The 14,479-nt window shown below is 52.2% G+C and overlaps 12 annotated features.

The window, feature by feature from the left end:
- Positions 209 to 710: an enhancer, noted in NCBI's record as "H3K4me1 hESC enhancer chr7:100755193-100755694 (GRCh37/hg19 assembly coordinates)". NCBI's record gives its function as "activates a minimal SCP1, AML or CMV promoter by ChIP-STARR-seq in naive and primed H9 embryonic stem cells {active_cell/tissue: H9 hESC(naive and primed)}" and the evidence as "EXISTENCE:reporter gene assay evidence [ECO:0000049][PMID:30033119]".
- Positions 2,912 to 3,862: an enhancer, noted in NCBI's record as "H3K4me1 hESC enhancer chr7:100752041-100752991 (GRCh37/hg19 assembly coordinates)". NCBI's record gives its function as "activates a minimal SCP1, AML or CMV promoter by ChIP-STARR-seq in primed H9 embryonic stem cells {active_cell/tissue: H9 hESC(primed)}" and the evidence as "EXISTENCE:reporter gene assay evidence [ECO:0000049][PMID:30033119]".
- Positions 3,848 to 4,067: an enhancer, noted in NCBI's record as "active region_26399". NCBI's record gives its function as "activates an Ori minimal core promoter by ATAC-STARR-seq in GM12878 lymphoblastoid cells {active_cell/tissue: GM12878}" and the evidence as "EXISTENCE:reporter gene assay evidence [ECO:0000049][PMID:35858748]".
- Positions 3,848 to 4,813: a biological region, named in NCBI's record as "H3K4me1 hESC enhancer GRCh37_chr7:100751090-100752040".
- Positions 3,863 to 4,813: an enhancer, noted in NCBI's record as "H3K4me1 hESC enhancer chr7:100751090-100752040 (GRCh37/hg19 assembly coordinates)". NCBI's record gives its function as "activates a minimal SCP1, AML or CMV promoter by ChIP-STARR-seq in primed H9 embryonic stem cells {active_cell/tissue: H9 hESC(primed)}" and the evidence as "EXISTENCE:reporter gene assay evidence [ECO:0000049][PMID:30033119]".
- Positions 11,815 to 12,522: an enhancer, noted in NCBI's record as "H3K27ac-H3K4me1 hESC enhancer chr7:100743381-100744088 (GRCh37/hg19 assembly coordinates)". NCBI's record gives its function as "activates a minimal SCP1, AML or CMV promoter by ChIP-STARR-seq in primed H9 embryonic stem cells {active_cell/tissue: H9 hESC(primed)}" and the evidence as "EXISTENCE:reporter gene assay evidence [ECO:0000049][PMID:30033119]".
- Positions 12,160 to 12,454: an enhancer, noted in NCBI's record as "tiled region #10406; HepG2 Activating DNase matched - State 5:Enh, and K562 Activating DNase unmatched - State 1:Tss". NCBI's record gives its function as "activates a minimal TATA promoter and a strong SV40 promoter by Sharpr-MPRA in HepG2 and K562 cells {active_cell/tissue: HepG2 | K562}" and the evidence as "EXISTENCE:reporter gene assay evidence [ECO:0000049][PMID:27701403]".
- Positions 12,218 to 12,362: an enhancer, noted in NCBI's record as "145 bp enhancer 153 fragment used in the MPRA reporter construct; PK_construct_3835". NCBI's record gives its function as "activates an SV40 promoter by MPRA in HepG2 and K562 cells {active_cell/tissue: HepG2 | K562}" and the evidence as "EXISTENCE:reporter gene assay evidence [ECO:0000049][PMID:23512712]".
- Positions 12,263 to 12,407: an enhancer, noted in NCBI's record as "145 bp enhancer 54 fragment used in the MPRA reporter construct; PK_construct_3480". NCBI's record gives its function as "activates an SV40 promoter by MPRA in HepG2 and K562 cells {active_cell/tissue: HepG2 | K562}" and the evidence as "EXISTENCE:reporter gene assay evidence [ECO:0000049][PMID:23512712]".
- Positions 12,285 to 12,295: a transcriptional cis regulatory region, noted in NCBI's record as "NFE2L2 motif; enhancer 153 activity is reduced when this motif is scrambled". NCBI's record gives its function as "necessary for full enhancer 153 activity {active_cell/tissue: HepG2 | K562}" and the evidence as "EXISTENCE:site-directed mutagenesis evidence [ECO:0005528][PMID:23512712]".
- Positions 12,330 to 12,340: a transcriptional cis regulatory region, noted in NCBI's record as "NFE2L2 motif; enhancer 54 activity is reduced when this motif is scrambled". NCBI's record gives its function as "necessary for full enhancer 54 activity {active_cell/tissue: HepG2 | K562}" and the evidence as "EXISTENCE:site-directed mutagenesis evidence [ECO:0005528][PMID:23512712]".
- Positions 12,523 to 13,230: an enhancer, noted in NCBI's record as "H3K27ac-H3K4me1 hESC enhancer chr7:100742673-100743380 (GRCh37/hg19 assembly coordinates)". NCBI's record gives its function as "activates a minimal SCP1, AML or CMV promoter by ChIP-STARR-seq in primed H9 embryonic stem cells {active_cell/tissue: H9 hESC(primed)}" and the evidence as "EXISTENCE:reporter gene assay evidence [ECO:0000049][PMID:30033119]".

The following is a 14,479-nucleotide window of genomic DNA, read 5'->3' as shown; positions in this document are numbered from 1 at the left end:
ATGCACCGCAGGCCCCTGCAGAAGGGGCCCCAAGGCCCTGACCAAGGAGGAATTCCAGCTTCCCTCTTCCTGCTTCAACCCTTTGCTGTGTTCGGCCCCCATCCTCTGCACGAATGGTCAAGGTCCTGGCTGGTGGCCAGCCCTGTCTGGACAGGAGGAAACCGTTATGCGAGGGGTAGAACATGAAGTCCTCAAGAACAGAAATTCCAGCGGAAGGGAAACAATGCGTAGGGGATAGAGTCATCCCCACGGGGGCAAGGGAAGGGACAGGGCCTTCCTGCCCCAAGTGGGGTAAACAACCCAGGCCTGGGGAAGCTCACAGCATCTAGCGTCTTCCAGGCAGGGCTGGAGTGCTGGGTGGGGCACCGCGTTGGACCAGCTGGAAGAAATGGGTCCCTGCACTGTTTTCTGGCCTTTCAAGGCTGATATGCTCCTATGGGGAGGAACAGGATTCCACTGCCAAAGTCAGGGGATCAAGGGAAGAACTGGAGGAGGATCCAGCTAAGGAGGTTCCACTGTGGCTGAGGCCATAATGGCCATAGCCCTCAATGGCCAGTCAGCTGCTGGCCACCAAATAAGACAGCCCTTGTTTTTTTTTGTTCATTTGTTTTCGATTTTGTTTTGAGACAGGGTCTCTCTCTGTCACCCAGGTTGGAGTTCAGAGGTATGATCATGGCTCACTGCAGCCTCAAGCTCTCGGGCTCAAGTGATCCTCCCACCTCAGCCTCCCTAGTAGCTGGGACCATAGGCGCACGCCAGCACACCCAGCACACTCAAAAAATTTTTAAAAATTTTTGTAGAAATGGGGTCTTGCTGTGTTGCTCAAGCTGGCCTCAAACTCCTGGGCTTAAGCAATCCTCCTGTTTCGGCCTCCCAAAGTGCTGGGATTACAAGCGTGAGCCACCATGCCCAGTGGGCTCCAGGTTTCAGGGCAGGATTTTCAGGAGCCAGAGCTTGTGGAAAGCTCCATTAGGGGTGAAAGAGGTCAGTCTAGGGCCACCCTCTGTGGTACTACAGGGGACAATTTCCTTTTCTTTCAGGGCCCAGACCAGGCTAGCCTTGAGCAGAGCAGGAATGAGCCTTCTCCCAGGGCTAGAAAAGAAGCTTCCATCTGGAAGGGACAGAAGAAACGACACAGTGCCCCCGGGATTCCCCAGGCCAGTCTCCCATGCTGGCAGGGCTGGAGGGAAGATTGAGGCAAAGAGTCTAAAAATTCCTGCCCGCCTTAGTCTGGATTTGTGGTTGCTTCTGTAATTTGTTTAGGTGGCTTTGATCAGCGAATCCATTTGTTTTTCAGCTCTCAGGGTCTACTTGCCTTTCTTTTTTTTTTTTTGAGATGGAGTTTCGCTCTTGTTGCCCAGGCTGGAGTGCAATGGCGCGATCTCGGCTCACTGCAACCTCTGCCTCCCGGGTTCAAGCAATTCTCTTGCCTCAGCCTCCCATACCACGCCCAGCTAATTTTTGTATTTTTAGTAGAGATGGGGTTTCACCATGTTGGTCAGGCTGGTCTCGAACTCTCGACCTCAGGTGATCTGCCAGCCTCGGCCTCCCAAAGTGCTGGGATTACAGGCGTGACCCATCACACCCGGCCCTGCTTGCCTTTTCTTTAGAGTTTTTGAAGTTCCCATCCCCAAACTGCAGCAATAACAGGGCTAAGATACATATAGCAGTTGCTGTTTGCTAGGCCCTGTTTCATACTCATTATTCTATTTCATTTTCATACAACTAAGAAATGGTTATTGACAGCCAGGCACGGTGGCTCACACCTGTAATCCCAGCACTTTGGGAGGCTGAGGCAGGCAGATTGCTTAAGGTCAGGAGTTCAAGCCCAGCCTGGCCAACATGGTGAAACCCCGTCTCTACTAAAAATATAAAAATTAGCCGGGCATGGTCGTGGGTGCCTGTAATCCCAGCTACTAGGGAGACTCAGGCAGGAGAAATGCTTAAACCCGGGAGGTGGAGGTTGCAGTGAGCCGAGATTACGCCACTGTACTCCAACCTGGGTGACAGAGGGAGACTCCCATCTCAAGAAAAAATAAAAAATAAAATAAATAAATAATTAATTAAAAATGGGTATTGGGGACCAGATGTGGGGGCTCACTCCTGTAATCCCAGTACTTTGGGAGGCTGAGACTGGAGTATCACTTGAGGCCAGGAACTGGAGGCCAGGGATTGGAGACCAGCCTGGGCAACACAGCAAGACTCTGTCTTGCAAACATAGCAAGACTCTGTCCGCCAAAGAAAAAAATGTAATAATACTAATAATTAGCTGGGTGTGGTGGCATGCACCTGTAGTCCCAGCTACTCCGGAGGCTGAGGAGGGAGGGTAGCTTAAGGACAGGAGTTCAAGGCTGCAGTGAGCTATGATCATGCCACTGCACTCCAGCCTGGATGACAGAGAGAGACTCTTTCTCTTAAAATAACAAAATAAGGTATTGGTCCTATTCTCATCTGAAAGATGAGGAAACTGACAGATAGAGGATTTGCTATCCTGCTCAAAGTCACTCAGCTAAGAGAGAGACTGGCTCCAGCAGCCCCAGCTCTTAACCAGACTTCATCCTGTTTCTCCGTATCTCAGCTGTTCCCCCGACGTGACCCTTGCATGCCTGTCCCCTATCCCCAACCCAGGATACTTCAAGCCCCTCACCGTGTGACCCACTGCTCCCTATGAGTTCCTTCATTGGCCCCTTCCTTCACAACTTTTTTTAAAGAGACAGACTCTCACTCTGTAGCCCAGGCTGGAGTGCAGTGGCATCATCTCGGCTCACTGTAGCCTCCACCTCCTGGGTTCAAGTGATTTTCCTGCCTCAGCCTCCTGAGTAGCTGGGATTACAGGCACCTGCCACCATGCCCAGTTAATTTTGTATTTTTAGTAGAGACGGGGTTTCACTAAGCTGTCCAGGCTAGTCTCGAACTCCTGACCTTGTGATCCACCCACCTTGGCCTCCCAAAGTGTTGGGATTACAAGCGTGAGCCACTGTGCCTGGTCGTGAGACCCTGTTTCAAAAAAAAAGGTTCTAAGGAGATTTACACCAAGAGGCTCTTGAGTGACACATGAGATCAGATTAGGCCCCTAGAGAGGGGATGTGTGAGGCCTGGAGCAGACAAGGAAGGGTCCAGTGACCTTGGCATAGAGCAGAGGGGTATGGTTGGGGGCTGGTCGGGAGGACTTCTCAGCCTGGAGAAGCAGTTGTGTGCAGAAACCAGGTTGGAGGGTCTGGACATGGAGGACCCCAAAGGGCAGGCCGTGGGATTTGCTCCGTGTGTGGGAACCTGGGGGAACCTCCTATTCCCTTGTTTGCTGCACGTCAGCTACCCGCCCAGACCTGCTCTCTTAGTCACTTCTGTGCCAGGTGCTCCCTTCCCTGAAGCTCTGGGGCAGAGATGAGGCTCCTGTTATTCACAGCCTGAACCACGACGGCTGTCTCCCTCCAGGCACACTCCCTGGGTACAACCCAGCCTGCCAGCTCATTCCCCTAGGAGACTGGCCCCAGACCCAGACAACCCGGGTCGTGCCAGGGACAGCAGATGCTTGGGGCCCTGCAGGCAGAGACCTCTCCCTCCTCCTGAGCCCTTCAGCCCTGGACTGGCCAGCTTGGTCCAAGGATCAGCATCTCAGGAAGCAGAGGCAGTTGTTGTGTGTCCACGGCCTTGCTCCTGGACAGGGGACACCAGGGAAATTAGAGAGACCAACAGAGGAGCTTTAGGGTCTAGGAGGTTTGGGAGCCCCCTTCTCTTTCTGAGCCACCGATTTAGAGCTAGCAGAAGCCGTTCTGCTTTGGGTGGATCAAGCATCTCGTTCTTGAACCTAAACTCCGGGAACTGGGCCCAGGGGACCTTGTCTTCAAGTCCCCATCCTTTCAGGAAATGACATGCCAAACTCCATTTGCTCTTGTCTATCTTTGGTAGCAGCTCATCAGGGAAGTGGGGGCGGAGGTGGGGGCTGAGCCCAGAAGGAAAGCCCCAGGCTCGGGAACCCCCCAACCCCCCACCTGTTGCTGTTTCTGAGAATCCCGAGAGGCCCACAGGTAAAAGGTCATGTTGTGTCCAAAACACCGGGCTGGTTTTCCGGGTTGAATCAGAGCCGGTCAGCAGCTCTGCAGCAGGTGGAAGGCAGCAGGGCTGTCCCCCTTGGCCTGGGCGGGATTCCCCACCCTCTCTCTCCAACAGGGCTTTCCTGTCCAGTAGACCGTTAGTTCCGCTGGCTGGATGAATGAGCGTGCGTGCGTGTGTGTGTGTGTGTTTGTGCTTTTGTAATGGGCGTCTGCCAGGGCTGTGGTAATTGCAGGGCCTCCCCAGGGCTCCCCACGTTTCCCAACAAACCCAGTGCCTCTTTTTTTTTTTTTTTTTTTTTTTGAGACAGAGTCTTGCCCTGTCGCCCAGGCTGGAGTGCAGCGATGCGATTTCTGCTCACTGCAATCTCCGCCTCCCGGGTTCAAGCGATTCTCCTGCCTCAGCCTCCCAAGTAGCTGGGACTACAGGCATGCGCCACCACGCCTGGCTAATTTTTGTATTTTTAGTAGAGACAGGTTTCACCAAGTTGGCCAGGCTGGTCTCGAATTCCTGACCTCAAGTGATCCACCTGCCTCGGCCTCCCAGAGTGCTAGGATTATAGGTGTCAGCCACTGCGCCTGGCCCCCACCCCGCCGTGCCTGTTCTGCAGAAGATGAGCAGAAGCTGTGTGGGTGAAAGGGGAAACTGGGAAGTTATCTGTAAACACGGGGTTGGGGGCACATCTAGATTTGCCACATCTGTTCCTCTCCTCCCATCACAAGATCTGATTTTTGTTTTTGCCATCCATCTCTTGCAATTAGGCAGGTCCACTCGCTGCCCCCACTTCAACTTCTGGGGGTCTTTTGTGGCCAGTCTCCGGCCACACACACTCCTCTCTGGAATGTTTCCCCTCCTTTGCAGATCTGTGGTCCACAGAGCCTTCTAGGGCTTCCACCTTTCCCCCCAAACCACCCTCTGCTGTCTGTCCTTTGAACCTGAAAATTCTTGCAATAGGACCCACAGGATCACACACAGAGTTCAGCACTGGCTTGCTTTCCATTGTCAGGGGTTTGAGACCAGCCTGGCCAACATGGTGAAACCCTGTCTCTACTGAAAATACTGCCATGTATTCATTTTGCTTTCCCTACTGGATGGTAAGAATTTAGGGGTTAGGAACTGTTTGGGTCTACACTTTCCTCCTATGCCCCTTAATACTGCATGATATGGGCCAAGTGCAGTGGCTCATGCTTGTAATCCCAGCACTTTGGGAGGCTGAGACAGGAGAATCACTTGAGCCCAGGAGTTCAAGACCAGCCTGGGTAACACAATGAGATCCCTCCTCTACAAAAAATAAAATGATTAGCTGGGCATGGTGGCGCACACCTGTGGTCCCAGCTACTCGGAAGGCTGAGGTGGGAGGATTGCTTGAGCCTAAGAGTTGGAGGCTGCAGTGAGCTATGATCACACCACTGCACTCCAGGCTGGGCGACAGAGTGAGACCCTATCTCTGAAAAAACAAAAACGGGCCGGGCGTGGTGACTCACATCTGTAATCCCAGCACTTTGGGAGGCCGAGGTGTGTGGATCACCTGAGGTCAGGAGTTTGAGACCAGCCTGGCCAACATGGTGAAACCCTGTCTCTACTACAAATACAAAAATTAGCCGGGCATGGTGGCAGGTACCTGTAATCCCAGCTACTTAGGAGGCTGAGGTGGGAGAATTGCTTGAACCTGGGAGGCGGAGGCTGCAGTGAGCTGAGATCGCACCACTGCACTTCAGCCTGGGCGACAGAGCAAGACCCCGTCTTAAACAAACAAACAAACAAAAACAAAAACAAAAAAAGCCAACAACAGATAAACTGAATACTGCACAATGGGCAGTGCTTGGGCCCAACAGTGAAGTACTCCAAAGTGAACATTTCCTTCTGAGAACTTAATTAGGAAGAAACTCAGTTTAGGAGAGGATATTAGCCTTCTAGAAGTTACCTTAGGCGACTGTCTGTCTGCAAATGTTCCAAATCCAATTAAGGAGACCTGGGAGGAACCTCAGAGGAGCTGACGCAATTGTGATTGCAACTTAGAGAAGCAACAGCATCACTGTCCGTCTGAAGGAAAATGCCAGTTCGAGGAGGGCGTTCTGCGGGCGTTAGGAGGGTGTTCTGCAGGCTTCAGAAAGGGGGGAATCCAGAGAGATCATGCTTGGCATGGGGTCTCCAATTGTTCAGAAGAGTTGGTGTCCTGTCCCGAAAATGTCACTGTCCAGGCCATGGGACAGATGTGTCTCCAAGTGGTGAGGATGTCTCTGATTGTCATTGCTAGACAACAGCAGTGATTAGGATCATCCAACACCCCGCCCTGGCCTTGTTATATTTATTTATTTATTTATTTACTTATTTATTATTTGAGACAGAGACTTGCTCTGTCACCCAGGCTGGAGTGCAGTGGCGCAAGCTCGGCTCACTGCAACCTCCACCTCTCAGGTTCAAGTGATTCTCCTGTCTCAACCTCCTGAATAGCTGGGATTACAGGTGAGCGCCACCACGCCAGGCTAATTTTTGTATTTTTAGTAGAGATGGGGTTTCGCCATGTTGGCCAGGCTGGTCTCGAACTCCTGACCTCAGGAGATCCGCCCACCTTGGCCTCCCAAAGTCCTGGGATTACGGGCATAAGCCACCACGCCTGGCCTATTGTTTTGTTAAGAGACAGTCTTGCTCTGTCATCCAGGCTGGAGTGCAGGGATGCCATCATAGCTCACTATAGCCTCAAACTTCCAGACTCAAACGGTCCTCTCACCTCAGCCTCCTGAGTAGCTGGGATTATAGGCACGCACCACCATGCCTTGTTAATTTTTAAATATTTTGTAGAGATGGGCCAGGCACAGTGGCTCATGCCTGTAATCCCAGCACTTTGAGAGGCCGAGGAGGGTGGATCACTTAAAGTCAGAAGTTTGAGACCAATCTGGCCAACATGGTGAAACCCCGTCTCTACTAAAAATACAAAAATTAGCTGGATATGGTGGCAGGCACCTGTAATCTCAGCTACTCAGGAGGCTGAGGCAGGAGAATGGCTTGAACCCAGGAGGCAGAGGTTGCAGTGACCCTAGATTGCGCCACTGCACTCCAGCCTGGCTGACAGAGCGAGATCCTGTCTCAAAAAAGAAAAAAGTATTTTGTAGAGACAGGGTCTCACTATGTTGCCCAGGCTGGTCTTGAACTCCTGGACTCAAGTGATCCTCCTGCCTCGACCTCCTGAGTAGCTGGAATTACAGGCACAAGTCACTGCACCTGGTTTGTTTATGTTATTAATCTCATTTATTCCAGGAACCCCGTGGCATATCTTACTGTGATCATTTTACAGACGAAGAACAGAGGTTCAGAGAGGCTAAGTAACCTCTGCAGACGTCACCCAGTTAGTGAGTGGTGGAGCTGCGTTAAGCTCTCCTTGCCCTGAACCCCTTTCTTGGAAGGGGAGAAGGACCCAAAGTGGAGAGGATGCACCTTCTGTCTGAGGACAGGGGCTTCTGGAGGGAGGTTGGACAGGGCATAGGGGTGCTTATGTAGGGCTCTGCCCCTCACCTATGCCCAGCATGTGCTCGTGAGAGACAGACTTGGCAGCTGTGGTCCTCAGATGAGGACTAAAATGATAGGAAATGGAGGGAAATTCCAGTCTTGATCCTTTGATGAGGCAGGAGCTGGCCTAGTGCCCTGCCTGGGAACACCCTGACAGATCACAGAGATACACCCCCTTCCCCATCTAAACACCAAGGAGGCCGGGTGTGGTGGCTCAAGCCTGTAATCCCAACACTTTGGGAGACTGAGGTGGGCGGATCACCTGAGGTCAGGAGTTTGAGACCAGCCTGGGCAACATGGTAAAATCTAAAATCTACTAAAAATACAAAGCTTAGCCGGGCATGGTGGCAGGGGCCTGTAGTCCCAGCTAGTCTGGAGGCTGAGGCAGGATAATCGCTTGAACCCGGGAGGCAGAGGTTGCAGTGAGCTGAGATCGCACCGCTGCACTCCAGCCTGGGCAACAGAGCAAGACCCTATCTCGAAAAATAAACATAAACATAAACGTAAAAAAAAAAAAAACACCAAAGAGGAGGCCCTTCCCTGGCCAAGTGCAGGAGCCCCCACAGGAGGCACCAGGAGCTCTCTCCGGCGCCTGCAACAGGCTCTCCCGTGGGTGGAGACACCCACGCGTGTCTTCCTGAGCAGGGAGGATCTGCATCCTGCCCCCTGTTGCTGATATTCAAGTGTCTCCATTCCTCTCTCCAGGGATCACACGGGAGCAAATAGTTGGGGAGAGATCAAAGCCCACGTGGCCAGCCTGGGACAACTTTGTCAGCCCTGGCAAAGCCTGCGCATGAAGGCTTCCGGGGAAGCCACACCCCACTTAATCTGGCCAATTTTTTGTTTGTTTGTTTTTGTTTTTCTGTTTTTTGTTTTTTCTTGAGATAGAGTCTCACTCTGCCGCCCAGGCTAGAGTGCAATGGCGCGATCTCAGTTTGCTGCAAACTTCACCTCCCGGTTCAAGCAATTCTTGAGCCTCAGCCCCCCGAGTAGCGGGGATTACAGGCGTGTGCCACCAGGCCCGGCTAATTTTTCTGTTTTTAGTAGAAATGGGGTTTCACCATGTTGGCCAGGCTGGTCCTGACCTCAAGTGATCCACCCGCCATGGCCTCCTAAAGTGCTGGAATTACAGGCATGAGCCACTGCGCCCAGCCTGATTTTTGTATTTTTAGTAGAGATGACGTTTTACCATGTTGACCAGGTTGGTCTTCAACTCCTGACCTCAAATGATCTGCCCGCCTGGCCCTCCCAAAGTGCTGGGATTATAGGCGTGAGCCACCGCACCCAACCCCTGTTCACATTTCTGTGGATTTCCTGCTGCCTGGAGCTGAACTTGTAGGGACAGCTCTGCCCACCCCAAAAACCCTCTGCTCCAAGACATACCTCCCTCTGAAGACCTGTTCTGCAGGTGGAAGGCAGGGGGTGCCAGGCCTGGGAGCCTCGGGCCAGCTTGAACCCAGACCCACTCTCCTTACACCTCACCTGCCCAGTCCTAGGCTGCCTCTATGTCTCCATGAACTCCCTGTTTTCCTACCAGGAAAAAATCTTAGCTGAGGGGAAACTGTACCTCAGGGCACAGATATATTTTGTGGGATGGAATGGGATCACATATGAAATTGGTGGGCAGGGAGATAGAGAAATACCCTGGGCAGATTAAGTGGGGTGTGGCATTCCCAGAAGGTCTCTCGTGCAGACCCCCAGGGTGTGGTGAAGTTGGCCCAGGAGTGGCCATGTGGACTTTCACCTCTGCCTAACTACTGGTGACCTTGTTGCATAATCTCTCTAGCCTCACCTTCCTCATGGTTTTTTTGTTTGTTTGTTTTCGAGACAGAGTCTTGCTCTGTCACCAGGCTGGAGTGCAGTGGCGTGATCTCAGTTCACTGCAATCTCCACCTCCCGGGTTCAAGCAATTCTCCTGCCTCAGCCTCCCGAGTAGTTGGGATTACAAGCGTCTGCCACCAAGTCCAGCTAACTTTTTTTTGTATTTTTAGTAGAGACGGGGTTTCACCATATTGGCCAGGCTGGTCTCGAACTCCTGACCTTGTGATCCTCCCGCCTTGGCCTCCTAAAGTGCTGGGTTTACAGGCGTGAACCACCGCACGCTGCCTATTTCTTTGGTTGTTTGTTTTTGAGACAGGGTCTAGCTCTGTAGCCCAGGATGGAGTGCAGTGGTATAATCATGGCTCACCGCAGCCTCAACCTCCCGGACTCAGATGATCCTCCCAATTCGGCCTCCCAAGTAGCTGAGACTACAGGTACACGCCACAACACCTGGCTAATTTTTTGTATTTTTTGTAGAGATGGGATTTCACCATGTTCCCCAGGCTGGTCTCAAACTCCTGGGCTCAAGCGATACACAGGCTACGGCTCCCAAAGTGCTGGGATTATAGGCATGAGCCACCACACCCGGCTACCTTCCTCATCTTTAAAACGAGGATGGTCAGGAGTGGTGGCTCACGCCTGTAATCCCGGCACTTTGGGAAGCTGAGGCGGGTGGATCACTTGAGGCTGATCAGGAGTTTGAGAGCAGCCTGACCAACATGGTGAAATCCCGTCTGTACTAAAAATACAAAAATTAGCCGGGTGTGGTGGCACATGCCTGTAATCCCAGCTACTCGGAAGGCTGAGGCAGGACAATCGCTTGAACCTGGAGGGGCAGAGGTTGCAGTGAGCAGAGATCGCACCACTGCACTCCAGCCTGGGCGAAAGAGCAAAACTCCATCTCAAAAATAAAAAAATAAAAAAAATAAAATGGGGATGGGAGTGATACCCCCCCCACATAGAATTCCTGAGAGGACCAAAAGAGAATCCATGTGGTATGCATGGCAGGCAGAAAGGAGCCTGGCTGGGAGGAAATGTACACTGCATCCCACTCTCATTCCTGCATACATTCACTCATTCACTCATTCTGCATGTACTATAGCCCAGGCACTATTCCGGACCTATCAGTGAACAAAACAAAGTCCCCCGTCCTCATGGGGCTTGCATTCTACAGGGGTTGAAAATCGGTAACAATAAGCAGAATACATAATGAAAGGGTAGAGTATGTTAGAAGGTTAGAGAGGTATGGAAAAATAAAAAGCCCAGCAGGGAGGGGTTATTATCTTTCTGTTTGTTTTGTTTTGAGACAGGGTCTCGCTCTGTCACCCAGGCTGGAGTACAGTGGTACAATCTCAGTTTACTGCAACCTCCACCTACCAGGATCAAGCGATCCTCCTGCTCTCAGCCTCCCAAGTAGCTGGGATTATAAGTGCACACAACCACACCCAGCCAATTTTTAAACTTTTTGTAGAGATGGTGTCTCGCTATAGTGCTCAGGTTGGTCTCGAGCTCCTGGGTTCAAGCAATCCTCCTTCCTTCGCCTCCCAAAGCTCTGGGATGACAGGCATGAGCCACTGAGCTTAAATAACTTCATTCTTACTCATGCCTCCCTTCCAAGGAAAGGAATAATTAATAAATCTCTTTTGCAGAAGGGTCTCACCCCCTCAATAGAGTTGCCACCTGCCCTGGAGTGTATATGCGATCTGAACGAAAGTGACTAGGCTTTAGCATACATTCACTCATTCGTTATTTCAACCAATAGATATCTCCAAAATACCTGATTATGGAGTGCCCACTATGAATTAGAAGCCCTTGTCCTCCTGAAGGGTTTTGTAGGCAGGGAAGGAGCTGCATGTGAACAATCTAAGTTAGGCAGTGAAGCCGGGTGCGGTGGCTCATGCCTGTGATCCCAGTACTCTGGGAGGCTGAGGCGGGCAGATCACTAAAGGTCAGGAGTTCCAGACCAGCCTGGCCAACATAGTGAAACCCCGTCTCTACTAAAAATAGAAGAAATAGCTGGGCATGGTGGCGGGTGCCTGTAATTCCAGCTGCTCAGGAGGCTGAGGCAGGAGAATCACTTGGACCTGGGAGATAGAGGTTGCAGTGAGCTGAGATTGCACTACTGCATTCCAGCCTGGGTGACAGAGACTCTGTCTCAAAAAAAAAAAAAAAAAAGTTAGATGATGATCAGAGCTGCCAGGCATGGCAGGCAGGCATTGCTGGAGGGGGTGAGGTCTGCGTGTGCGCCTCACTCTGCGGCCTTGTGCCACCAGCAGCTCTCTGGACTCGGGGGTCTGCTGCACCTTGGCTTGCTTTGGCTGTTTTCTTCTAATAAGTGAATAAGTGGATGGACCGTCCCTAACCTACGATCACGGGAGGCAACATAGATACGGCTGTTTCCAAGTGTGAAGGAAGGTTTTCTGAGTTGGCCCCTGAGCAAAAATATCAACCCCCGAGAAACCCATTCCCCAACCCCCAGAAGCAGGGAAGGACGCCGTGGCCATCTGCCCAGCCATGTACCTGGCCTGCGCCACGTCCCTCCTTCTCCTCTTCTCCGGCATGGGCTTCGTTGCTGTGCTTGGGAGGTCAATCTAACCCCACGGAAAGAGTGAAGAGGAGGGAGGAGCAGAGTCTCTTGTTGCAGATACGGCTGCTCACCAAGGCTGTGGGGAGCAGACGTGACCCCTGCGTTTCTGGGGCTGTGACTGCACTAGTGCAAAGGAGGAGAGATCGGGTCTGAGGGAGGAGGCTTGGCCACATGGCTAAGAACCTGAGGCCCGTGTGTGTCCGACCGCAGAGGCAGATGCTCCGCCTTGGGGTTAGGAGCTGGGAACAGGCCGTTCTCCCTACAGTCACTGCTCACATGGACCACAGCGATCTCTCCTGCCATCGGCCCCCTCAGCTGCTGACTCATGCTCCCCAGGGTTGGCAGAGGCGCCGGTCCAACTAGCTGAGTCATCAGAGGATGAATTGCAGAATTCTTATTCAGGCTGTCACCGGCAGCCGAGGGCCCTCTCCCCCGCCAAGCCATTCAAAGCATTCCCTCCCCGCTTGTCATTGTGTCTCTCCATCTCCGTCTTGGGGGCCTTGAACAGGATGCCAGCAGGGTGCATGGTGTGTCTCTGAGCACCCCCCTTAGGTCAAAATTCCAGACCTCTCCTAATAGGGACCAGGGCCTGGTTTATTAGCACGGGGCAGCATCTCAGATCTTTTTTTTTTTTTTTTTTGAGATGGAGTTTCACTGTTGTTACCCAGGCTGGAGTGCAAAGGTGCCATCTTGGCTCACTGCAACCTCTGCCTCCCGGGTTCAAGCAATTCTCCTACCTCAGCCTCCCAAGTAGCTGGGATTAAAGGCATGCGACACCACACCTGGCTAATTTTGTATTTTTAGTAGAGACGGGGTTTCACCATGTTGGTCAGGCTGGTCTTCAACTCCCAATCTCAGGTGATCTGCCCACCTTGGCCTCCCAAAGTGCCGGGATTACAGGCGTGAGCCACTGTACCCGGCTTAGCATCTCAGATCTTATTTCATCCACTCACTCATCTTATAAATGAGGAAACAGAGATACAGATAGGCTCAAGTGACTCGGCCAGGATTTGAGCTGCTTGAGAAGGCAGAGAACTGGGCATTGGGTGCTAGGAAGGGCAGCTTTGGAGTCAGACAGTTCTCAGTCTAAATTGAAATCGACTTATTCTGAGCAAGCCTCGCCAAGCCTCGGTTGGTTTTCTCATATGTAACAGAATGTGAAGGCTTCTGGGAGTCAATGGATGGGGAGCAGGCGAAGGCAAGATCTCAGCCACTGCTATCGGTTCTCCTGTATTTGATGGGGAGGCCAGAGGCTGAGATCATTCCTCTTCCTCTTTGGGAAAACTTGGAGGGGAGAGGAAGGAAGCTTTTTTGGGGGCTCTTGGATACCAGGTTAGGGGAGTGGGTTTGGCCAGTAGGTAGATGTTCCTAGAACCCGCCCCCCCTGCAGGGAGGACCCCAAATGCCACAGGCTGGAAAGTACCCACAGATGCAGCTGGATGCGGCGGCTCACGCCTGTAATCCCAGTGCTTTGGGAGGCCGAGGCGGACAGATCGCTTGAGCCCAGGAGTTTGAGAGCAGCCTGACCAACATGGCAAAATGCCATCTCTACAAAAATTAGCCAGGTATGGTCGTGAGTGCCTGTAATCTCAGCTACTTGAGGGACTGAGACAGGAGAATCATTTGAGCCCTGGAGGTTGAGGCTGCAGTGAGCCGAGATCGCACCACTGCCCTCCAGCCTGGGCGACAAAGTGAGACCCTGTCTCAAAAAACAAAATAAAAAATAAAAAAAGGGGGCTAGGTACGGTGGCTCACGCCTGTAATCCCAGCACTTTGGGAGGACAAGGCAGGCAGATCACAAGGTCAGGAGCTGGAGACCAGCTTGGCTAATATGGTGAAATCTTGTCTCTACTAAAAATACAAAAATTAGCAGGGGATGGTGGTGGGTGCCTGTAATCTCAGCTACTCGGGAGGCTGAGGCAGGAGAATCACTTGAACCCGGGAGGTGGAGGTTGCAGTGAACCGAGATTACGCCACTGCACTCCAGCCTGGATGACAGAGAGAGACTCCGTCTCAAAAAAATAAATAGAAAAAATAGAAAAGGGAAGGTACCCACAGGTGCTTGTTTGGCTTCCACAAACCCCAAAACAAAGCCCCACGTGGTGGGCACAGCCACCATGACCTGGGTCCCTCATGTACTTCCTGCATATCACACCTGCGTGTGCCCAGGTGGAGCCCTGCATGCGCCAGCATGGGCCAGATCACCTACTGGTTCCCACCCAGAAGGTGCATGCTTCTGCAATGTCCCCAAGGAATCTGTGTGGCCACCCTGGGAGCTACCTACCATTGGGTGGCTTTGATGACCTGATTTCCTTCACTATCTGGGCCTGGTTGTTAAAGGTTCCCTGTATCCAGCCGGGTGCAGTGGCTCACGCCTGTAATCCCAGCACTTTGGGAGGCTGAGGCGGGTGGATCACTTGAGGTCAGGAGTTCTAGACCAGCCTGGTCAACATGGTGAAACCCCGTCTCTACCAAAAGTACAAAAATTAGCCAGGCGTGTTGGCTTGTGCC

Source organism: Homo sapiens, chromosome 7, assembly GCF_000001405.40.
Source record: "Homo sapiens chromosome 7, GRCh38.p14 Primary Assembly".
Taxonomy (NCBI): Eukaryota; Metazoa; Chordata; class Mammalia; order Primates; family Hominidae; genus Homo; species Homo sapiens.
The sequence above is the reverse complement of the archived record's forward strand: the minus strand, read 5'-3'. Positions and strand labels throughout refer to the sequence as shown.